General features: G+C 42.2%; 1 protein-coding gene and 1 pseudogene across 2 annotated transcripts in view; one reads left to right on the top strand and one right to left on the bottom strand.

Moving 5' to 3' along the window:
* Positions 1-24,760, bottom strand: part of NIM1K (NIM1 serine/threonine protein kinase) — an 88,626-nt gene that overhangs the window by 32,567 nt on the left and 31,299 nt on the right. For both annotated transcript variants that reach the window (NR_072980.2, NM_153361.4), the window contains exon 2: positions 2,217-3,202. Coding sequence is in view for 1 of the 2 variants with exons in the window: in NM_153361.4 (NP_699192.1) it covers positions 2,217-2,508 (292 nt within the window). In the remaining variant the exon portion in view is untranslated. The remainder of the gene's footprint in view (positions 1-2,216; positions 3,203-24,760) is intronic.
* Positions 15,111-16,454, top strand: TUBAP14 (tubulin alpha pseudogene 14; annotated as a pseudogene).

Below are 24,760 nucleotides of genomic sequence, written 5' to 3'. Positions count from 1 at the left end.
CTAAGTTTTCCAACCCTTTACCCTACTTCCCCTACTGTTAGGGTAACTGTACTATATGTCATTTCCCCACATTAATGCGTTTGTTCACATTCTCCTCTAACTAACCCCCTAACCCTCCTCTGTCCTATAATCACTGCCTATCCAAAATCTTATCCTTCCTTGAGGTGTAGCTCAAATTTGACCTTCACTTAAAGCCTTTCACCGTAGTCCTAAGGTGGAAGAGTCTCTTTCCTTCCTTTAAGCTCATAGCTTTTCTCTTCTATGTTTTTCAAATTCTGGTTTGTATTATATTTATTTGTACACAACTTCTCTTCCCTTATCCTTGAGGATGAAGGTTGTATCTATTTCATCTTTATATCCCCCAAGGCCTAATATAGTGCTTCTGTTGTTCACCTAAATGAATAATAAATGAATATTCTCTCAAGTGAAATGAAATTTGAAAGTTAAACGTAGCATGGAAACCTGACACAATACCTCATAATTGATTTTAAAATACAAATAATACTTAGATTACCCATTTGTGGCAACTACCAAAAAAGTACTATTTTAAAAGCTGTCTGCAGTATGTGCAAGTTGCTGTAGGCAAGTATTTCTTAGTGTTACATGTTGTTAGTTAGAATCACCTGGAGAGTTTTCAAATACTACCCATGCCCAGTCCCACTCTAGACCAATCACATCAGAAGCTCTGAAGGTGGGTTCTAGGCACTAATTCTCTTTTAAACCTTCCCAGGTAATTCTAATGTGCAGTCAGTTGAAAACTATGGCTGTAGGGCATGGCAGCTGCATTGATCTCAGTTTGTGTATTGGGATGGGCAGGAATGAACTTCTGATAAAGATACTTTAGTTGATCTTTGGTTGCACAGAGGCAAGGCAAGGCAAGGCTTATTAAGCAACTAACTAACATTTGTTGAGCACTTATTAATCCTTATGATACCGTATGAAGTAAGCACTGTTATTGGCTGCATTTTATAAATGAAGTATCTAAGGCTCAGACAAGTATTGTAATTTACCCAGATGAGTAAGCAGAGTAGCCAAGATGTGAAGACATGAACCCAGATACACAGGCTTCAGAGCAAGAGTATAGAAGACGTGAAACTCCGGTGACTTGGGAGTGTGTGGGTCAGTTGCGGTGGGGAGGTACATGTATGCAAACATGTATGTGGAGCTTTTTCTATAAAGGCCAACAACAGGGATTGGAGGGGCATGGGATTGGGGGTTGGAGAAGAAAAGGAAGCAAAAGACAACTCTAATATAAGAAAAGAGGGGCCTTGGAGACATGGTGGCTGGCTGAGTCCAAGCAGAGAAAATGTCAATCAGGGACTCTAGGGAGACGGTAGAGTCCATGGGTTTTAGGACTGAGTAAATTATGCCGAGCTGTAAAGTGTTCTTTTTCTGTCTTGTAAGTCCCTTATGATAATCCCCAGACTTCTGCTAAGTTACAGGTACCTTGGGGAAGTGCCCACAGTGGGGTCAGAGCAGCAGAAGGGTGCTGGGCTCTCCATATGGTTTCTCCCTGAGGCCAAAGTGCTGGGCGCTGCTAGTCCAGAATCTCAAAGTTTCCAGTAGCCAAGCAAATGGGGAGTGAGGAGCCAAACAATGAGAGCTAGGGCAGGGTGGACTGAACAGAAAAGGTTCTGAGATCAAATCCCTTTTTCTCAAATATGACAGAAGTCGCAGCCTCTGGATGGAAGGGAAACTGGACACTGCTATCCAGAGACAGCGCCCATCGGGGGGATCTCCTGTGCCGCACTGTGCCATTGTTACTGAGACACAAATGTAAATGGAAACTATAAATATGGGCTTGGGAGATGAGGTGGCTTGGGAGATGAGGTGGCTTGGTTCCAAGCCACGCTCCACTCCACTTCTCAAGGGCCTCACCGGAGAGGACAGATTCTTCTCATGTTTGAGTGGGTTTATCTGCATGGTATGGTGGAAGGGTTTTTGGAGTCAAAAACCTCTAAGATGGAACTGAAGACACATTTGCCTTCTTTGGATCTCAGTTTCTTTATCTGCAAAATGGAAAAAAATATTGACCTCACATGGTTACTGTGAAAATTAACTGAGAAGACCACAGAAGGCGGCTGGCACAGGATGTGGGCCTTGCAGGGGCTCTGCTGAGGTCACTTTACTTGCTTCCTTGGCCCTGGCCACCTAACCCCTTTCCTACACTAGGTCCCAATACTGCCAGGGATGACCCTTGGGAAGTCGGATCCTACCTTTGGTTAGGGAGTGAATCCCAAGCTTCACTTGGGAGAAGTTTCCACTTCCGATTTCCCCTCGAATTCGGTAGAAGCCTATCCGTTTCCCCAGCGTGATCTCCCTCACCACCTTCTCATCCTGGGACATGTCCTGTGTCAGTTTCTCGAAGGGCGTCAGCTGGCGGGGCTGTCCCTCCTCACCCTCCTTGCTACTCTCGGTCTGACAGCCACTTTCTACACTGTCGCGCCGATCCCACCGGGCATAGTGGGGGTTCACCAGGCCACCTCCATTCATATACACTGCAGTCATCGTCCACGGGGGCTCACGTCTCCATCTCAGCGAAGAGGCAGGTTGTGCAGGAGCAGAAGAGGCTCAGAGGGTGGGAGATGCCAACTGAGGACAGCAGGTGCCCAGGGTTCAAAAGAGTTTTCCTGAGAGCTGAGCAGCCTCCCTCTCGGCTTTAGTGAGAGGAAGGCAGTGAACGTGGTAGCTGAGTCTGCCCAGCCCAGCCAGGAGCTGCTCGCCTCACTCAAGACATTTCCCACCTTCCCTCACGTTGAACTTGCAGGCTCTAGCTGTACAATTAGGCACATGTTACATACCCACTGGCCTGATGGGACTCCAGGAACTTTCTGGCCAGACGTGGAGTCTGATGCTTTGTGGTAGGTGGCTGTGCCCCAGGACAAAGGCTTCTGTTTGCTATTTCCCTTGATGGCCAGAGAATCTTGCACTCTGGTGCGTAAATGCCCCTGGGAGGCCCCCACGTCCCTGCTGCGGGATCTCATCTCTGACCTTCATTTCATGCTTCTCTTTCTGTCAAGCTGCAGGGCGCTGGAGACCTAATAATCTGGACCCCAGGAAAGAAGAAACTTGCAAATAAGCCTTCTGGTCACACAGGCAGCCAAAGAAGGATTTAATCCCTGCAATGTCACTTTAGCCGGCCTTTATTTAGATGAACCTTCCTCTAAGCCGTGAGCTGTCTCGAAAATTTGGCTGGTTCAACCTAAGAATAGAGAGTAAGAAATTTATTAGCCTATGCTAATGTACTGTACAGGATTTGTAATGAATGTGCAACTGCTTTGTAAGCATTGATCTAAAAGTACCCCACAAATTTATGACTCATATCAGTAGTAGATGCTTGATTACATGTGATCTAGTAAGAAGAAAAGAGCATATACACACACCTCTCAACCTACATTTTAGAAAAGCCCCTAAGGTCCGTACATATTTCTAGCAAAACAATTTTTCTATTTCTTAAAGTTTAAGAAAATATGCACATTGCCTTGTGTTGCTTTAAAACCAAATTTTAAAAATAATATGATAGCAAAGATGAAAGATTCTGGATTACTAATGGTTTTCAAAATTTCTCATATTTATTCAAATAATAATATTTTATCTCCTTTACTACTTCATGTTCTTGCACAACTTGTCCTATACTAGTTGCTTCCACTCTTTCTTCCTATGTCATTTTATGACAAAGGCTGATTTTTCCTCCTACATTCACTTTTTGAATTTTTCTGAGCAGGTGTCAGTTTCTAGGCCCAGCACCTTATTTTGAAGATGTGGAAAAGGAGGGTTTACAGCATTGCCAGTGACAAGAAATGCTGCCCACCTACGATGTCATCGGGATGTTTTTTTTCTGCACTCTCCAGCAGGAAATACTCTCTTCCTCTCTGAATTCCCACAGCACTTCGTGCATTTTCCAAAATGTCCCATCTCAGTGAAGGTGGGAACTGGTTTTGACTTGTAGGTATGTCCTGCTCACCTCCTCTCTCCTTCAAAATGGAGTATAAGTTCTTACATATAGAAAGTGTTTACTAAGTAAATATGTGTTAAACTTGATTTTTGGACTTGAGCATTCCAAACCAAAAATTTGACTGAAAACATGAGAGACTGCCTTGGAAGTATGGATTTCCAACTCTGCTCAATAATATCACATTATTACAATTAAGTATAAATAAGGCTTCCTAAGCTTATACTTAAGGTTAAGTATGGGGTTGCCAAATAAACATAAATAAGGGAAGTAAAGAGGAGGTTGATGCCCAGTACTGCTCCTATTTCTGGATAGAGAGAAAGGAATCTGGAAGAAGGATGATGAACACAGGCTTAAAAGGGACCAGGTATCAGTAACTAAGCACATCTCTAGGTTAGAGACCAATTAGGATGTTTTTTAAAAACATTTTTAAGATAAAGTTCCCCTTAGCAGGGTGTGGTGTTGTACCTCCTAGCAGGGTGTGGTGGTGTACCCCTTAGCAGGGTGTGCACCTGTAGTCTCAGCTACACCTACAGACTGAGGTGGGAGGATGGCTTGAGCCCAGGAAGTGGAGGTTGCAGTGAGCTGAGATCAAGCCACTGTACTCCAGCCTGGGTGACAATGCCGGACCCTGTCTCAAAAAAACAAAGCAAAGCAAACAAACAAAAAAGGTAAAGGTCCTTAATTAGAGTGAAGAAAATCTAAGTCACTGATTCTTCTTCCTTTTCTTTACCCACCTCTACCTCCCAAAGTGCTGGAATTACAGGTGTGAACCACTGTACTCAGCCAAAATCACTGATTCTTAATCATCCTGGGCTCACAGACTCCTTTGAGATGCTAACAAAACCTATGACTTTATCCCCAGGAGGAAAAAAAAAAAAACCCTCACCCATACAATTTGCATCCAATTTTAAGATGACATTCTGAAACCCATCAGGTTAAGAATCTCTGTGAAGGTCAAGTGGCACTAGATCTCCCCAGATTCCTGGCAGAAAAACACCATGCAGCTTATGACAGACTAGAATGAAGTAGTAATTCTGCAAGAAACTTTAGCTTAACCTAAGGAAAAAGAAAAATATAGATTTTCCATAGAATGCAGTACTTTTGATCACTTTGATCACTTTGTGTTCTAACAGACTCTCTGAAGAACTTACTGGCTCTGTGTCCTCATTACTGTGCTGTCCTTGTCACTAATGTACTTGGGCCACAACTACATCAGCACTAGGAGGGCGCCGGGCACAGTGGCTCAAGCCTGTAATCCCAACACTTTGGGAGGCTGAGGTGGGTGGATCACCTGAGGTTAGGAGTTTGAGACCAGCCTGGCCAACATGGTGAAACTCCATCTCTACTAAAAATACAAAAATTAGCCAAGCATGGTGGCGCACACCTGTAATCCCAGCTACTTGGGAGGCTGAGGCAGGAGAATTGTTTGAACCCAGGAGGCAGAGGGTGCAGTGAGCTGAGATCATGCCATTGCACTCCAGCGTGGGCGACAAGAGTGAAACGCCATCTGAAAAAAAAAAAAAGCACCAGGTGGGCAGGAACTTGTGCTTTACTCTTCCCTCTGTCTCTGGGAGTTCTGCACAGTAGTTGATAAAAGTTTGTTGAAGAAGGAATGAACTAATTTACCAATTAATCCACCATTACAATTAGGTAAGATTTAGTAGAGGTAAATATTTTTGTTTTTTAACTACTAACACTATCCTAGAATTTAACTATCTCAGTTTATTTCAGTCCACATTTTTAAGATTTGGGCTCCCTTTACTAGCTATTAGAATTCCTGGCCCCATCTTCTTGTGGAGGTAAAAGCTTAGTCCAAAGTCCATCATCCCCCTGAGAACTGTGACAGAACTGCTTCGAAATGCAAGTCTCCCCCATCCCTGCCCCTTTGAAAGAATCAGCTCCCCACAGGCACCAGGCCTCCTGCCTCTCTCTGCACCTGCTCCCCTCCATCTCCTGCCCAGCTGCTGCTTCAGGGCTTGTTCTCTGCTTTCCTGTTCCCCAACTCTCCTGATTTGGGGTCTATATCCTGAGCTCTATTCAGGCCCTGGGATTTACAGTAGAGTTTGAGACTTCAGGTGCCTCCCAGGAATTCCTCTCCCTCCCTTCCCAATTCAACAGAGAGGGAGGGCACAGGTACAATTGCCAAATATGATCAGTCTCTGTCTTGAATTACGTACCCTAACACCTACAAATGAAACTTCTTGCAAAACGGTCTTGAACCAATTGTCTTGCCTTAGTGGTCGAGGAGACAGTTAATCTTCCATTTAGATCAGATAAAGTGTTTTTGTTACACTTTTACAAATGTTGCTGTGGTTTGCATTGAGGATGAATTGCAACTTGGGACAGCCAGCAAGTCAACTGGGGAAAAAGCCAAACCCCTATCTCACTCCTACTTCAAAATAAGTGCCAAATAAATCATCTAAGTAAATGTAAAATAAACAAAATCATGAAATACTAGAAAAGAATCAGAAATTTTTTTATGATCTCAGCGAAAGCCATTAAAGAAAACATTGAATTTGACTACATAAAATTGTAATTTTCTGTTTGCCCAAAAGTATCATAAACAGACAGGCAAAAATCAAATGATAACCTGATAGGGAAAACTTTCCAACAAATATAATAAACAAATAAAAAATAAACAATTTTCTAAGTAAAGAATTTTACAAATTGATTTTAAAAATACCAATATCCAGCCAGGCACGGTGGCTCACTCCTGTAATCCCAGCACTTTGGGAGGCTGAGGTGGGGGATCACGAGGTCAAGAGATCGATATCCTCCTGGCCAACATGGTGAAACCTCGTCTCTACTGAAAATACAAAATATTAGCTGGGCGTGGTGGTGCACACCTGTAGTCCCAGCTACTCAGGAGGCTGAGGCAAGAGAATCACTTGAACCCAGGAGGCGGAGGCGAGAACCCAGTGCCGAGTGCCGAGATAGCACAACTGCACTCCAGCCTAAAGGCAGAGCGAGACTCCGTCTCAAAAAAAAAAAAAAAGAAAAAGAAAAGAAAAATACCAATATCCTCCCAAAAAAGAAAAATGATGAAGAACATGAGCAGACATTTCACAGAAAATACAAATGACTCCATAATATACAAAAATGTACTCAACCTTACTTATAATTAAAGAAATACCCATAAACTACACTAAAATTAGATTTTTCACATATTAAATTTGAAAGCTGCAAAAAAAAAATTTTGATAGTGCAATGGTGAGAGATAGTATGGGGAAACAGGAATTCTCATTCATTGTTACTGAAGTATAAATCGGTACAATTGCTTGGAAGGTAATTTGGCTGTAACTATTAATTACAAGTGTATGTGTTCTTTGCTTCAACAATTCTACTTCTAGAATTTCTCTTTGCACACATGTGCAAAGATGTGTATTTCTGACATAAAGATGGATGTGAAAAAGAATGAGTTACAGTATCCAAGATATACTGTTAAGAGGTGGGAAGAGTGTTTATAAAGTGATAATCAGGAGTGTAAGAAAGGGCCGATTGTGGTGGCTCACGGCTGTAATACCAGCACTTTGGGAGGCTGAGGTGGGTGGATCATTTGAGGTCAGGAGTTCGAGACCAGCCTGACCAACATGGTGAAACCCCGTTTCTACTAAAAATACAAAGAAATTAGCCAGGCATGGCGGCACACACCTGTAATCCCAGCTACTGAGGCAGGAGAATCGCTTGAGCCCAGGAGGCGGAGGTTGCCGTGAGCCAAGATCATGCCACTGCACTCCAGCCTGGGCAACAGAAAGAGAATGCATCTCAAAAAAAAAAAAAAAAGTGTAAGAAAGAGGAGGGAATCCCTAAAAATAGGTAGAGTTATTGCATCTGGTGAAGGGACTTGTTGGACAGGGGAATGGAGTGGAAAAAAAGGTTTACTTTTTACTGCTTACTTTTTCATATGATTTACATTTTTTTAATGTGCGTATACTTACCTTTAAAAAGAAAATAGGCTGGTTGTGGTGGCTCACACCTATAATCCCAGCACTTTGGGAGACCGAGACGGGTGGATGGTTTGAGTCCAGGAGCTCAAGACCAGCCTAGGCAACACAGTGAGACCCCATCTCTACAAAATAAAAAATAAAAAAAATTAGCTGGGTGGCGCACACCTGTAGTCCCAGCTACTCAGGAAGCCAAAGTGGGAGAATCACTTGAACCTGGGAAGTCAAGGCTGCAATGAGCCAAGATCACCCCACTGCACTTCAGCCTAGGCAACAGAGCGAGACTCTGTCTCAAAGAAGAAAGAAAAAAAGAAAAGAAAAAGGAAACAATTAAAAATATTTAATGTGTTGCCACCTTACATAGTTGGTGTACGATAAGTTTGCTTTACTTTTGGTTACACAGGGAAATTATCATACCTGATTCTCTAATATCTAATGGATTGCTTTTAAAATAAAAAGATAATTCAGGACTTCTGGTGAAACATGGAGAATTTAATGATCTCATTTATTTCTACTTTATTCCAAAAAACAAAAAACCTCAAAATGGCAAAATAAGAGGAGGAAAGTTACAAACCCATGAGGATAAAAAGAATAAGAGTGGAGGCCAGGCATGCTGCATCACCTGAGGTCAGGAGTTTGAGACCAGCCTGGCCAACATGGTGAAACCCCGTCTCTACTAAAAATACAAAAAATTAGCCAAGCATGTGGTGCATGCCTGTAATCCCAGCTACTTGGGAGGCTAAGGCAGGAGAATCACTTGAACCTGGGAGGCGGAGGTTGTAGTGAGCCAAGATTGCGCCATTGTACTCCAGCCTGGGAAACAAGAGTGAAATTCCATCTCAAAAAAAAGCAGGCGCGGTGGCTCACGCCTATAATCCCAACACTTTGGGAGGCCAAGGCAGGCGGATCATGAGGTCAGGAGTTCGAGACCAGCCTGGCCAACATAGTGAAACCCAGACTCTACTAAAAATACAAAAAAATTAACCCGGCATGGTGGCGGGCACCTGTAATTCTAGCTACTCAGAAGGCTGAGGCAGGAGAATCGCTTGAACCCGGGAAGCTGAGGTTGCAAGTGAGCCAAGATTGTGCCATTGCACTCCAGCCTGGGCAACAAGAGTGAAACTCCAACTTAAAAAAATAAATAAATAAAAATAAGAGAGGAGATAGCAGCAGAGAAATGTCAATACATTTTTGGGGAGATGGAGAGATGGCAAGAAAATTAGTGATAAGCAACTTTGCAGACAAGGAAGAAAACTGCAACCTAAATTCCTACATAAGGGCATGCCAATGAGATTCACCTTTCTGAGTGCTCAAAAAGGCTTCAAACTATAAGATACCAAGTACCTCAAAGGTTAGAGGAATAAAGCAGGATCAAAATCATGGAAACTGTTTGAAGTTAGAGCAGTGAGACCCCACCCCCCGCCCCCGCCAGCCTTTCCCTCCTCAAAGATAGGTTGTTACTTTCTCTACCCCATCCCAGCTCAGGAACACAAGGCACAGGACGGAGGATTAGGTAAAAGTCTGTGTTGTAGAATCCCTCATTCTCTTCTCCTTGCACTCTTGGTTCCCAGAATGGAGGAAAATAAACATAAAAACCTCGAGGTTGGCTACTCCTCTTTTGGATAGACTAACTCAAGAGAAAAGACTTTCTGAAACCTACGTTTGAAAGTTCTCCATCAAGAAAGCCACATAGCCATCTACCGCACAATCCTCCAAGTGCCAGTTTCATGCACACGCAGGGAGCTTCCAACCAAGTTTCAGTGCATTCTGCTTAGAATGAATGACTGAATAAATGTTCAGTCAAGAGGCATGAGACATCTGAGGAAAGGCTCCAAAATGAAAGAAAGAAACCATGCTCAACCTAAAAAACAATCTCTACAACAAAAAGGAACTTGAAGGAAATGTAGAGCCATGAAGAAGCAGAAGATAAAAGATAAGGTATTGGATCCATAAAACCAGAACAAATGCTAAAAACAAAAAAAAAATTCAAAGACAATTCAGACAACAAGAAAGAGCTGTCTTGGAAATTAAAGAATTAAATTGGCCGGGCGCAGTGGCTCACGCCTGTAATCCCAGCACTTTGGGAGGCTGAAGGCGGGCAGATCACAAGGTCAGGAGATCAAGACCATCCTGGCTAACACAGTGAAACCCCATCTCTACTAAAAATACAAAAAATTAGCCGGGCGTGGTGGCGGGCGCCTGTAGTTCCAGCTACTAGGGAGGCTGAGGCAGGAGAATGGCGTGAACCCGTGAGGCAGAGTTTGCAGTGAGCCAAGATCGTGCCACTGCACTCCAGCCTGGGCGACAGAGCGAGACTCCATCTCAAAAAAAAAAAAAAAAAAAAATTAAATTGAAGAATTGTGAAAGAAAAATCGAGAAGAGATAAGCAATATAGAAGACACGAAAACTGGGTAATCAATTCAGAAAGTCCAACATCTAATTATTAGAATTTCCCGTTACACTATTATGCTCCCAATAAAGTAAAACATATGGTTTCTGTTTTACCTGAATTGCCAGCAAATCTCAGAAATTTAAAAAACAGTACAGTGAGAAAAAACTCTGAATTCTTACACATTCTAGTGGAATAAAAAAGTAGAAGGAAAAAATCTAAAAGAAAAGGTAAATCCTGTTTGGGTGTGTGTATCTATGGGTATTTAAATATTCATTTTTATTTTGCATAATTTTTTCCCAGAAATTTTCCTTAGAAATCTAGAAATAGGAGTTCTGAAGCACAGGTTGTGGGGTTGCTCTAAATAGTATATATTTTTGACTACTTTCTAGTAGAGTCCAAAACATCAAGCTTCATAATGTTGAAAGCTAAGCAAATAACGGAAGTGATCACATACCTAATTAAAAACAAAATTTCAGATGTAAGTGAGTTTTTTGTTGTTGTTCTTTTGCCTTTGCCCTTTAGATTTTGATCAATTTTTATGGACATTAATGAGAGCTTAGAAACTCAACCAGACAAAATTATGGAGTCACATCACTGCAGATCAAAGCCTCTGGAGCAGGTAGAATGGTCCTTAATTATTAGCTTGCTGTTGCTATATAGCAATGCATTAAATAAGATGAAAGAAAACAGAGCTTACTTGGTAATTCATTTTCTTGACTTATAACCCACTGTGAAAATAATATCAATGAAAACCATCTCACCTTTGTTCTCTCTGAGTTTAACTTACAAAACTTCTGGGCGAGGCTCTTAGGCAACCTTTTCATTGGTTGGCAAGGCCAGGCATTGGTTTCCTTAAAAGAAAAGCTGAGTATTCTCTGTGTGTGGCAACAAGGTTCAAGACAGCTAGTCCTCAGTTATAATCCTTCTCAGGCAGGTGCACCCTCAGGGAGAATAATTAGCAAATTCATCTCATTTGAAAGTATATTTTACCATTTTGAAATCATTTGCGTCATCTTTGCTTTTAGCTCAGCTCTTTATTTCTCAGCACACATGTCAAGATCCCCATGCAGTGCAATGGGGGAAATTCCAAAGCAAATAGAAAAGCAGTCAGTATGCGCTGGTTTCTAGGACAGCAGTTCTGCTCTGTGACACCACCTCTCCCCTACTTGGTCTCAGAGCGGGGCTACTCAGCCCAGGTCTACCCTCATCCAGTTCACACCCAGCATCCAGGGACAGTCCATCCAGTCTGATGGGTTTACATCAGCTCTTCCCATATATTACTTCTACAACACTTGAGGTTCCCTTTGCCATCAATGCCACAGACTCAAACGCCTAGAACAGTGCAGGAGTTCTACGTCAGTGACCAAGTGCAGTGCCTATGCCTGGCGTGGTGAGGCAGCCCTTGCTCAGCTCCAGCCAGGGCAGCCATGCCAGAATGCAGGTTTACTTTCGCCAGATCTTATAATTCTTGAAAAGAAACTGGCAATTAAGAATTTTTTGGTAAACTCTGTCAATTTTTTATTTTTTAGTTTTTTTTTATTTAGAGGCAGGGTCTCACTACGTTGTCCAGGCTGGTCTTGAACTCTTGGCCTCAAGAAATCCTTCTGCCTCAGCCTCCTTGTAGCTAGGATTACAGGTGCAATCCACCCACCAAGTCTGGCGACTCCATTTTTTTTTTAATGTTTATGTTTTTTTGGTGGTTTTTAAATTTTGTTTTGTTTTTTGTTTGACACAGGATCTCACTCTCACCCAAGCTGGAGTGCAGTGGTGCAATCACAGCTCACTGCAGCCTTGATATCCCATTGCTCAGGTGTTTCTCCCACCTCAGCCTCCTGAGTAGCTGGGACTACTGGTACACACCACCATGCCTGGTTATTTTTTGTAAAGACAGGGTTTTGCCATGTTGTCCAGGCTGATCTGCAACTCCCGGTCTCGAGTAATCCACCCTCCTTGGCCTCCCAAAGTGGCTGTGATTACAGGCGTGAACAACCATGCCTGTCAACTCTCAATTTTTAAAGTATAGATTAACTCCTTTTAAAACACTGGCGAAGTGAAACTGAAGTGTCAGGCTGGATTTGGCCTCCAGGTTGGCCATTTCCAGGCTCTGTTCTAGGTTTCATGGGAGAATCATCCAAAAAAAAAAAAAAGATGGGGAGGGAATAGTTCATAGGTCCGTAGTCAAATACATCTGGAACTGCTGCACATTATACCCCTCTTAGATATTTGCGTTAGTACCTTACAGTCTTGTAGTTTTAAAACCACACGCACAAACAAATGTCTGTTTAATTCAGTGGTCCCCAAGTTTATTTAACCATCTAATTCATCCTTACTGAATACATTTTTGTCATTGACATTTTCCTTATGACTCTAACCTCAGAGGTGGACAAAGCTGTCAAATATCTGTAAGAATTTAGGTCCCAACAGGAAGATTATGAAAACAATTCAGTATAGAATGAAACAGAAAATAGATAGTTGAGTTTAATCCACCAATGCAGCAGATGAGGTGGGAGCTACCCATCTGTGGGGTCTGGAATGACACAGTAGTAGCTTGACAATTGAGTATCTCTTAACCTTGAGAAGATTTAGTGTTAAAAACAAAAATGCTTAAGAGACTCAAACCCTCCAGTATTAATATTTTTGTCTTATGAACTTGTATGAAATTGGTATTTCAATGTACTTGTTATGTGAAGATAATTTGGCATAATAAATAACAAAATAGTTTTGTGACTCTAATTTAAAATGAAGAATTGGATAATTAATTTAGATTTGTGATTTTAAGTTGAACTTTTATTGTTTTAAAATAGCACTGAATGAAATGTATTTAAAAGAGCTTAAGGTTCACCCTTGTCTATATGTTTAAATCATTATATTTGTAAGAATTACTAGTATTCTGGAAGCATTTTTGTTATCAAATAAAGTTTTTTAAAAGGAAATGAAACAAATTATAAATGCAGTTTAAAATGGTTAAAAAGGTTTCATTAAGCTTTGAATGGGATCAAACATTAATCCTTAAAAATTGTTGTCAGACAAAATAATGTCTGGAATTTGCTTTAAAATAGGCCGGGCATGGTGGCTCATGCCCATAATCCCAGCACTTTGGGAGGCCAAGGTGGGCAGATCATGTGAGGTCAGGAGTTTGAGACCAGCCTGGCCAATATGGTGAAACCCTGCCTCTACCAAAAATACAAAAATTACCTGGGTGTGATGGCAGACACCTGTAATCCCCGCTACTCAGGAGGCTGAGGCAGGAGAATCGTTTGAACCCAGGAGGTGGAGGTTGCAGTGAGCCAAGATCGCGCCACTGCATTCCAACCTGGGCAACAGAGCAAGACTGTGTCAAAATAATACAAAATAAATAAAATACTATAAAATAAGTCCCCATCCGCATGTTGGCCAGGCTGGTCTTCAACTCCTGACCTCAGTTGATCTGCCCACCTCAGCTTCCCAAAGGGCTGGGAATACAGGCATGAAGTACCATGCCCAGCCAATGGGAGTTTAAATTAAACAAGATTAGCCATGAGCTGGGAATTTTTTATGCTAGGTGATGAGTACATGGAGAGTTGTAATGTTCTATACACCATTTTTGTGTATATCTAAAATTGCTTATAATACAATTTTTAAAATAATTGTTAAAATTAGCCACATCAAAAAATATAATATTTGTAATAAGATGCTAGGCGTTTTACAACAGGCAACAGTGCTCATTAAATGCATGCATTGAATGAATGAATGAATGAATGAATGAATGAAAGAATGACACGACATGACAACTCTGTAAAGTGAGGTATTGTCATTCCCTTTTCACAGATACAAAAACCAAAACCAAAACTAAGGCCATCTGAAGTTAAGGCAGTTGCCCTTGATTTCCTGACTGTTAGCTCTGTGAAGGTGAAAACTGTGTATTTAAGTAAACATTACAACATGTGAAACCATGAATTTCAAAGATCTGAGGTAGAGAATGAAGTCATGTCCCAATAGAAACCCGAGTTTCTGCAATGAAAATTTTCATCTCATTTATCATTCATTTCCAAAACACAAATCTTCCCATCTTCTCTGAGGACCTATGCCTGCCTCCAAACAAAAGGAATAGCATTAAGATACTGAATGGAATCATGCATTGAATCACAAGAAGGTGGCCCTGAGCAGCAAAACAAAATGTATTCTTCATCTGCTCAGAAATAACTAATTTAGGAAACGGTGCGGGAACACTCATACCCGTTTGCAGCTAATGGTTTATTTTTAGGGAATTAAAAATATTTGTAAGTCAAAGCAGAAACTGCTCTTTTGCTGCCTTGTAACTTTCTCCAGCTCTAATGTAGCGTGCTCACTAAGAAGCAGAGAACACTTGAGGGATGCCCTTAGTGGGTGTTAGAAAAACCTCGTTTTCTATTTGAGCAAAACTCAAGAAAGTCTATCAGGGTAACAGGCCGCAAGGCTATGGCTATGGATAAGGAAAAGAGTGTTGTGGAACAAAAGCTCCTAGTTTTATCACCATAAAACCATAAAATGTTCAAGTGGATTTGAAACCTTTATTAAGAGCCTCTCATACCTGGTAAGTGATCCCTTCACACAGAATAAGCAACCCATCTGATAATTTTTAAATATTTACCCAGCACTGGAGGTAAGTGAGAGGTGGCAGTTGTTAGGGACAAGAGGAAGGTTAAGTTTTTTTTTTTTTTTAAGTGTCACTCTTGCCTTAGAAGAAGGAAAGAAAATAATAGGCAGGTTCTCTTATATCAATCACCTAAGAGTCGCACTGTAAGAAGCAACAATCTCTCCTTGTCTCCACCATCGCCTCGGCAGCCGTGAAGCAGTAATCATGCGTGACCGCATCTCCATCTCATTGGCCAGGCTGGTGTCCAGGTTGGCAATGCCTGCTGGGAGCCCTACTGCCTGGAACATGGCATCCAGCCCAATGGCCAGATGCCAAGTGACAAGACCACTCGGGGAGGAGATGACTCCTTCAACAGCTTCTTCAGTGAGACGGGCTCCGGCAAGCATGTGCCCAGGGCAGTGTTTCTAGACCTGAAACCCATGGTAATTGATGATGAAGTTTGCACTGGCACCTACAACCAGCTCTTCCACCCTGAGCAGCTCATCACAGGCAAGGAAGATGCTTCCAGTAACTATGCCTGAAGGCACTACACCATTGGCCAGGAGATCACTGACCTCGTTTTGGACCAAATTTGTAAACTGGCTGAACAGTGCATGGATCGCCAAGGCTTCTTGTTTTTCCACAGCTTTGGTGAAGGAATTGGTTCTGGGTTCACCTCCCCGCTCATGGAACAACTCCCGGTTGATTACGGCAAGAAGTCCAAGCTGCAGTTCTCCATTTACTCACCACCCCAGGTTTCCACAGCTGTAGTTGAGCCCTACAACTCCATCCTCACCTCCCACACCACCCTGGAGCACTCTGATTGTGTCTTCATGGTAGACAATGAGGCCACTTATGATATCTGGCATAGAACCTTGATACTGAACGCCCAACCTATACTAAACTGAATAGGTTGATAGGTCAAATTGTGTCCTCCATCACTGCTTCCCTGAGATTTGATGGAGTCCTGAATGTTGATCTGACAGAATTCCAGACCAAGCTGGTGGCCTATCCCCCCATCCACTTCCGTCTGGACACATATGCCCTGTCATCTCTGCTGAGAAAGCCTACCATGAAACAGCTTTCTGTAGCAGAGACTGCCAGTGCTTGCTTTCAGCCTGCCAACCAGATGATGAAATGTGAGCCTTGCCATGGTAAATACATGGCTTGCTGCCTGTTTTACCGTGGTGACATGGTTCTCAAAGACGTCAATGCTGCCATTGCCACCATCAATCAAGACCAAGTGTATCATCTAATTTGTGGTTTGGTGCCCCCTGGCTTCAAGGTTGGCATTAACTGCCAGCCCTCCCACTGTGGTGACTGGTGGAGACCTGGTCAAGACACAGAGAGCTGTGTGCATGCTGAGCAATACCACAGCCATTGCTGAGGCCTGGGCTCACCTGGACCACAAGTTTGACTTGAATGTATGTCAAGAGTGCTTTTGTTCACTGGTACGTGGGTGAGAGAAGGGAGGAAGGAGAGTTTTCTGAGGCCAGTGAGGACATGACTGCCCTTGAGAAGGATTATAAGGAGGTTGGTGTGGATTCTGTTGAAGGAGAAGGTGAGGAAGAAAGAGAGGAATACTAAAGTGAAAACGTCACAAAGGTGCTGCTTTTACAGGGAAGCTTATTCTGTTTTAAACATTGAAAAGTTGTGGTCTGATCAGTTAATTTTTATGTAGCAGTGTATGCTCTAATATACAACTACTGACCTATGCTTTAAAACATGAATGCTTTTGCAGACCCAGACTGTCCATTTCTGTGATGGGTTTTAAAAACAATAATAATAATAAATGTTTTTTAAAAGTGAACAAATATGTAGTAACAATCTGAACTAACAGAATAAATAATACTTTTAAAAAATCTTCATATATATGGAGATTTAATATGTAATAGAGGTGGCATTTGAGACCACTGGGAAAAGGTAAACGATTCAATATTATGATGCTTGCAGGGGCTAAACCAAGAGATGGCTTCAGCTTTCACACCACCACAAATTCTTCATTAGCCCTCATTCTTTGACACACATAAGAAAATTATACATTTATAAATATAGATATATAGATATAGATAGAGGAAGAGATAACTAGAGTTTCACTCTGTCACTCAGGCTGGACTGCAGTAATGAGAGGATGGCTCACTGCAGCCTCGATCTCCTGGACCCAAGCAATCCACCCAACTCAGTCTCCTGAGTAGCTGCGACAACAAGCTTGTGCCAACATGCCCAGCTAATTTTTTATTTTTTGTAGAGATGGTGTCTCACTATGTCGCCCAGGCTGGTGTTGAACTCCTGAGCTCAAGTGATCCCCCAGCCTCAGCCTCTCAAAATCCTGGGATTATAGGTGTGAGCCACAGCATCCAGCCAAGAAAATAATATATTTTTTGATTAGTGTAAAGTGCCATGCAAATACAGAGGCTCATGCCTCTTCTAGTAATATTACTATTCCAAGACACACCCATATAGAAATGCTGGAGTCACTACTGGGTGTCAGGACAGACCATGTGCATATGCACGTAGTGCGTACTTGTACATGCACAAAAAAAAGCTCTGGTAAAATGCAGATTGAACTAGTGGGTGACAAATGGGGAAGGAGTGTGAGGTACAGAATTGGGGAGGAGTGAAAATGACGGTGATGGGGGTTGTTATCCCCCCTTCATCTGTTCTTTCTTCTATAGCAGTGGTTCTCAACCTTAACCTGCATGAAAATCACCAGAGAGCATTCAAAAAATGCAGAAGTCTAGGCCCTGCCCCCCAAATATTGTGATTGAATTGGCCTGTGGAGTGGGAGGTGTCTATTTGTTTAAGTTTTCCAGGTGATTCTGTTGTGCAGCCAAACTTGAAAACCACTATTTTATAACAGAGAAGTTTTAGCTGGGCACATTGCTATCCAACTGAGGACTGTATTTCCCAGTTTTGGCTATAGTTTAGTTTGGCCATGTATCTGAGTTCCAGTCATGGGCTGTGAGCACAAGTGACATACGTGACTGCCATGTTGTGACCTTTAAAAAAAGAAGCATGACCTCTCGCCTCTTCCTTCTTCCCATCTTCCTGCTAGCTAGAATGTGGACACAGTGGGGTAAATGGAAACAGCCACCTTGGACCAAGATGGAAGCCATGTGCTGAGAATTGCAGAGCCACCGAGAAGGAGCCTAAACCCATCACTACACAGTCACCAGATCAACCCAGGATTGCTACCTTGTATATTATGATGTGAGAGATATAAGATTCTATCTTCTTTAAGCCTTTATTGTTTCAACTTTTGTTATGGCAACCCAATGTTTGTGCAAGAGGGCTTTCATTTCTTACTCCATTTGTTTCTGGGTTGTTTGAAGGTTTTATAACATGTATAACTAGTTTTATAACTTGAAATTTATATGTAATTGGTATCTGTTTATCTATAGGTAAAGGTAGAGATATTTCAAAGGAAGTCTTCGCTCTTAAAGAAAAAAAAAAAGAGGCTAAAATTAGGCTGGGCTTGGTGGCTCACACCTGTAATCCCAGCACTTTGGGAGGCCAAGGTGGGTAAATCACGAGGTCAGGAGTTCGAGACCCTGGCCAACATAGTGAAACCCCATCTCTACTAAAAATACAAAAATTAGTTGGGCATGGTGGCATGAGCCTGTAGTCCCAGCTACTCAGGAGGCTGAGGCAGAAGAATCACTTGAACTCAGGAGGCAGAAGTTGCAGTGAGCTGAGATGGTGCCACTGCACTCCAGCCTGGGCAACAGAGCCAGACTCCATCTCAAAAAAAAAAAAAAGGCTAAAATTTAAAAAAGAAAAAAAAGATACAGATATAGGTTGATATTCATGAATATGTATAAATAGAGACAGATTTTATCTGTCTTGTCTACATCTATCTGTATAGCCTATAAAGGTTTAGATAGGTAGATATAAAGTACAGTGGACCAATGACAGAGATTCCTGATTTTAGTTTTCTGATACATCAAGGTATTTCCAATTATTTATACCTTCAGGCAAATTAAATTAAAGAATCTTTTTTTTTTTTTTTTTTTTGAGATGGAGTTTTGCTCTTGTAGCCCAGGCTGGAGTGCAATGGCGCGATCTCAGCTCACTGCAACCTCCACCTCCCAGTTCAAGCGATTCTCCTGCCTCAGCCTCCTGCGTACCTGCGATTACAGGCTCCTGCCACCACGCCCGGCTAATTTTTGTATTTTTAGTAGAGACGGGGTTTTGCCATGTTGCCCAGGCTAGCCCTGAACTCAGGTCAGCCTCATGTGATCCACCTGCCTTGGCCTCCCAAAGTGCTGGAATTACAGGCATGAGCCACCACACCTGGCCCAAAAGTCTTTATTGAGGACTGGTCATGTTAAAGAAACTAAGGTGAAGCAAGTAAGCGTGTTATTGTTTTAAAAAGTACTATATTCACTTGTGAGTAGCAAATTAATTTCGACAAAACAGTATCATCTATATTTTTCATGTAATACTGTTAATCTAAATTTCATTGGTTTGAAGGTTTTTTTGTGTGCTTAACTCAGTAAAATTCGTTTTGCTTTATATGTATACGAGCTTTAAGGAAAAGAAAGTTAATTAATTAATTAATTGTTTTTGAGACACGGTCTCATTCTGTCACCCAGGCTGGAGTACAGTGGAACGATCTCAGTTCACTGCAACCTCCACCTCCTGGTCTCAAGAGAGCCTCCCACCTCAGCCTCCCAAGTAGCTGGGATCACAGATGTGCCCTGCCACACCTAGCTGATTTTTAGGGTTTTTTTTTTTGTAGAGACAGGGTTTTGCCATGTTGGCCAGGCTGGTCTTGAATTCCTGGGTTCAAGCGATCTGCCTGCCTCAGCCTCCCAAAACGCTGGGATTACAGGAGTGAGCCACAGCACCTGGTTGGGAAAATAAATTTAAACTGGAGTTTTATATTTGTACATTTTCAGTATCTTTAATGTAAAATTTTTGTTTATGTTTATTTACAATAAAACAGGTCTCGGCCGGGTGCGGTGGCTCAGGCCTGTAATCCCAAGACTTTGGGAGGCTGAGGTGGGCGGATCACGAGGTCAGGAGATCGAGACCATCCTGGCTAACACGGTGAAACCCTGTCTCTACTAAAAATACAAAAAATTAGCCAGGTGTGGTGGCGGGCACCTGTAGTCCCAGCTACTCGGGAGGCTGAGGCAGAAGAATGGCGTGAACCCAGGAGGCAGAGGTTGCAGTGAGCCAAGATTGTGCCACTGCACTCCAGCCTGGGCGACAGAGCGAGACTCCAAGTCAAAAAAAAAAAAGGTCTCAACCAAGGAGTTATGAGAATTTAATTCCTTTAAAAGTTATCAGTAAATGACACAGTTTTGAGAAACTGTGCTTCTGAGGGAGATTCCCCCAAATTAAACAACCAAGTGAGGTCATGGAATAATATACACTCAGGGTCAGAACATGGTTACAGTCTCAGCTTTCCCACGAAATGTCTTTGTGACCTTGAGCCAGTCTTTTCCACTCTCTAGGTTCAGTATCTTTACTGGCAAGTGAGAATGTTGGAACCTATGATGTTTACAGATCATTCCAGCCCTGCCCTTCTGAGATCCTGGATTAGACAATATGGGGTGAATTCCAAAACATTTGTGAAAAAAACCCTTAAGTCCAAGTGTCACATTGCCCCCTTCTGGACCTTTGTAGTATCCACATGGATGAGATTAATAAAACCCATAAAAATAATAAAAGCCCATAATAAATAATAAATTTTTTAAAAACTCATAATAAACCCTAGATGGACTTGTGAAATAGCATAGCCCAATTCCCTTTCTCCCCTCAGACAACCTAGAAAGTCATATTTGAAGGTTCTCTACTAGAAATGTTAGAGGACAACCCAGGAGAGGAAAAAGGGCAAAGGGTAGCAAAGGAGTGGGAAACACAGGGATATGGAAGACGGGTTGGATTCAAGAGAGTTTTACACAGTTCTATCTCCAGCTATTCCTCTAGTATAAGAAATATTGTTAGCTATCTATTATCAAGTGCTTACTATGTGCCAAGAACCGATTCTTTTATTTTATTTTTTATTTTTATTTTATTATTTTTTTCTTTTGAAACGGAGTCTCGCTCTGTCTCCAGGCTGGAGTGCAATGGCGCAATCTCGGCTCACCGCAACCTCTGCCTCCCAGGTTCAAGCGATTCTCCTGCCTCTGCCTCCCGAGTAGCTGGGATTACCAGCATGCGCCACCATGCCGGGCTAATTTTGTATTTTTAGTAGAGACAGGGTTTCTCCATGTTGGTCAGGCTGGTCTTGAACTCCTGACCTCAGGTGATCCGCCTTCCTCGGCCTCTCAAAGTGCTGGGATTACAGGCATGAGCCACTGCGCCCGGTGAACCAATTCTTTTAAAATCCTCCCAGCAACTCTTCCAGCTAGGCACGGATTATCTGTGCCCCAAATGGAACCTGCTTGTTCTCACAATCTTGACCCTTTTCCACTCTGTCCAAGTCATCCCCATACTGTGAGGACGGCTCCTGCCCCCACTGCCTTCTAGAGGCCTTCTTTGACTACTTCAGACTACTTTGACTACCACACTCACATTTCCCTCTGCTACTATCCTGTGCCACTTGAGATCTGTATCCCATAATCTGGTCCTTGACTTCATATCTTTCTAGCTCATTTGTGTGAGTTAAGCCTCCTCACAAGCTGTCCTTGAGAGCAGGGTCCATGCACTGAGGGGTTCATCCACCCACTCTACCTGCCATCACAGGCATCATGCTGAGTGCATTATACTTGACACTCAGAAGATGACTTTATCTTCACCATGTCCTCCATCTAGTTCCTCTTTAGGAAAAACTACTGTCCTTTGGGGAGTAATCTCTCATATTTACTTTAAAGTATGAGAACTAAACTTCTGATTTTCTTCTCCAGACTTGTTCCTCTCACGGTTTTCCCCATATTGGTAAATGGCAAGACATCCTTCTAGCTGAAGCCAAACATCCTCACTCCTCTTTCTCTCTCATACACCAATCTGTCAGCAAATCCCATTGGCTCTACCTTCAAAATATTTCCAGAACACAGTCATTTACCATCAAGTGTAAGCCACTACTGGCTTTTGATCCTGTTACAGTTACAGCCTCTGTCCTTCCCTGCCTCCTGCCCACCTTTAACAGGGTTTGTTTCTAACAAAGCATCCAGAAAGATCCTTCTAAAAATATCACATCATGTCACTTCTCTACTCAAAACCCTTTGATGGCTTCCCATCTCACTTAGAGTAAAAGCTAAAACCCTTAAAAGGGCATTCAAGGCCCTGCCCAATATGGTCCCCATCCTTCCTAAAGTCATTCTCAATCACACCCTTGAAACTACACTCCAGCCATGCTGGTCTCCTCCACTCTTACTTGAAGGCACCAGTCATGCTCCTACGTTCTGCAAATTCCTACTGCTCCTTTAAGACTCATTTCAGTGATACTTCTTTCAGGAAGCTTCCCTCACTGACCCACTCACCATAAACCATGTAGAGTTCTCTTTTGTACTTCCAACACCTGCAGTTAACATTGTGGTTTTCTCCACAACTTTGTACAGTTATGACTTTTATATCAGGCTGTCTCTCTTGTCAGGCTGTCAGCTTCTTAAGGGTGGTGACCCTTTTTGACTTTGAAGACAAATAAGGAAGCAAATACTATGAAGATAACAAGCAGTTTTCTGGCCATCACAGAGAGGTTATATACGCTACTGAAATGAATGGCAGAAGCACATCCTGGGATGTGGATGGAAGCCTGGTGCCTCTTGAGTGGCTTCATTGGCTTCACTGTATGACTGAAGATCCTCCTATAAAATCACCTATTGCTAGTAAATTTATTTGGACAAGCCATAAATTCACTGTGAGTAGCACCCCAGAATATGTACTTTATTCAACCACTAGAAAGATTCAGAAGAAGGTCCCACCTTCAAAACCTTCAAGTAAAGACAATGAACCATAATTTAAGCATGTGAAACATGGGACTTTTCATGAAACTGCATAAAATTTTACTGCTTACGAGTAACTTAATTAAAATTGTTCAACTTAAAAAAAAAGAAAATAACTTTTATCTGAGGAATGCAAGTCCTTTTAATTGTTAGGTCCAGAGAGAGGTATCAAAATAAGACAGTAATCACACCTTTTTGAGCTATGTAGTTATCTTTTTTTTTTTTTTTTTTTTTTTTTTTTTTGGAAAGAGGGTCTCTTTCTGTTGCCCAGGCTGGAGTGTAGTGGTGCAATATGCAATCATCTGTTGACACTGCTTGCTATTGCCACAATTAGCTAAAAACTAAACTAATAATTCCACACTGGCCACTATAACCCTGACACTGTAGCTTAAGAATATATAGTCAATCGCTAATCAATGTTATTTCTGTAAATGAATGAGAATTCCTGGAAAACAACTTTGTATCAGCCCACTCTTTTTGTATCTGTCCCCCTTTTAAAAATCCACTTGTGGCCAGGCGCAATGGCTTAGGCCTGTAATCCCGGCACTTTGGGAGGCCAAGGCAGGTGGATCACAAGGTCAGGGGTTCAAGATCAGCCTGGCCAAGATGGTGAAATCCCATCTCTATTAAAAATACAAAAATTAGCTGGGTGTGATGGTGGACGCCTGTAATCGCAGCTACTTGGGAGGCTGAGGCAGAGAATTGCTTGAAGGCAGGAGGCAGAGGTTGCAGTGAGCCGAGATCGCGCCACTGCCCCCAAGCCTGGGTGACAGAGCGAGAAGCTGTCTCAAAAAAAAAAAAAAAAATTCACTTGTTATTGCTGTTAATCAGAATGTATTTTCAGGGCAACTTGAATATGTGCTCTCGAGTTGTAATCCTTAAACTTGACCCAAATGAACCCTCTACTTATATTAATTTTGTCTCAGCTTCTTCCTTTTAGGTAAAAAAACCAATCCCTCAGTTACTGAGGGACAACTGTACAATCTGTGTTTCTACTAAGGAAATTGACTGGAACAGACCTTATAGTTCCACAGTAAAACAAATCTTTTTTTTTTTTTTCTGAGACGAGTTTTTTGCTCTTGTTGCCCAGGCTGGAGTGCAATGGCACAATCTCAGCTCACTGCCACCTCTGCCTCCCGGGTTCAAGCGATTCTCCTGCCTCAGCCTAACAAATCTTAATTGTACAAATGAACTGTACTTCAGGGGTCCAAGCAATGCAGGTAGATTATGGGACACTTCGACTGGGGGTGTTAGGGGTGAGGGGACAGCGCATAGGTTCTTGTATTCAGTGATGAAAATAGGCCGGGTGCGGTGGCTCACGCCTGTAATCCCAGCTCTCAGGGAGGCAAGAGGGGGGAGGATAGCTTGAGCCCAGGAGTTCGAGACCTGCCTGGGCAATATAGCAAGACCCCGTTCTCCAGAAAAAGGAAAAAAAAAACAAAAAGACAAAAAAAAAGTGAAAATAATGTATTCAACCTTTCTACTGTATCTTTCTAATCAATGGATTTTTTTTTAACCCTCAAAAAAGAATCTTTCATGATGCTGCTATTTTTGCACAATAAAACAAACGAGGGACAGTCTTTAATTAGTGTTTTAAAAGGCTCATACATTCACATTAGAAACATCACCTTTGATGCCTTTGATTCCTGAGCCCATTGATCTGCCAAAGCACTGAAATCTCAGGCAGGAATTCATTTATATCAACCTAATTTGAAACAAAAGCAGCTGCTTTCCTGCCCTCTGAATTATCCATCTAGGGGCTCAAAGGTTTCCCACCTATCAGATTTTCTTCTCTGTTCTGGTAACCTCTGGAGTGAAGCTGATTTTTCAAAGGCAGAAAACAGCTCTTTGCCATGGTAATCATTTAACAAAAGGAAAGTAACATTAATAAGAAGAGAGCTGTTGGTTCTTAATAGCTCAAGCTGTATGATAGATATGTACGTACATGGCTGTTACTATGAAAATGTCTAGGTAGTAAGG

Source organism: Homo sapiens, chromosome 5 (assembly GCF_000001405.40).
Source record: "Homo sapiens chromosome 5, GRCh38.p14 Primary Assembly".
NCBI classification, from domain to species: domain Eukaryota; kingdom Metazoa; phylum Chordata; class Mammalia; order Primates; family Hominidae; genus Homo; species Homo sapiens.
The sequence above is the reverse complement of the archived record's forward strand: the minus strand, read 5'-3'. Positions and strand labels throughout refer to the sequence as shown.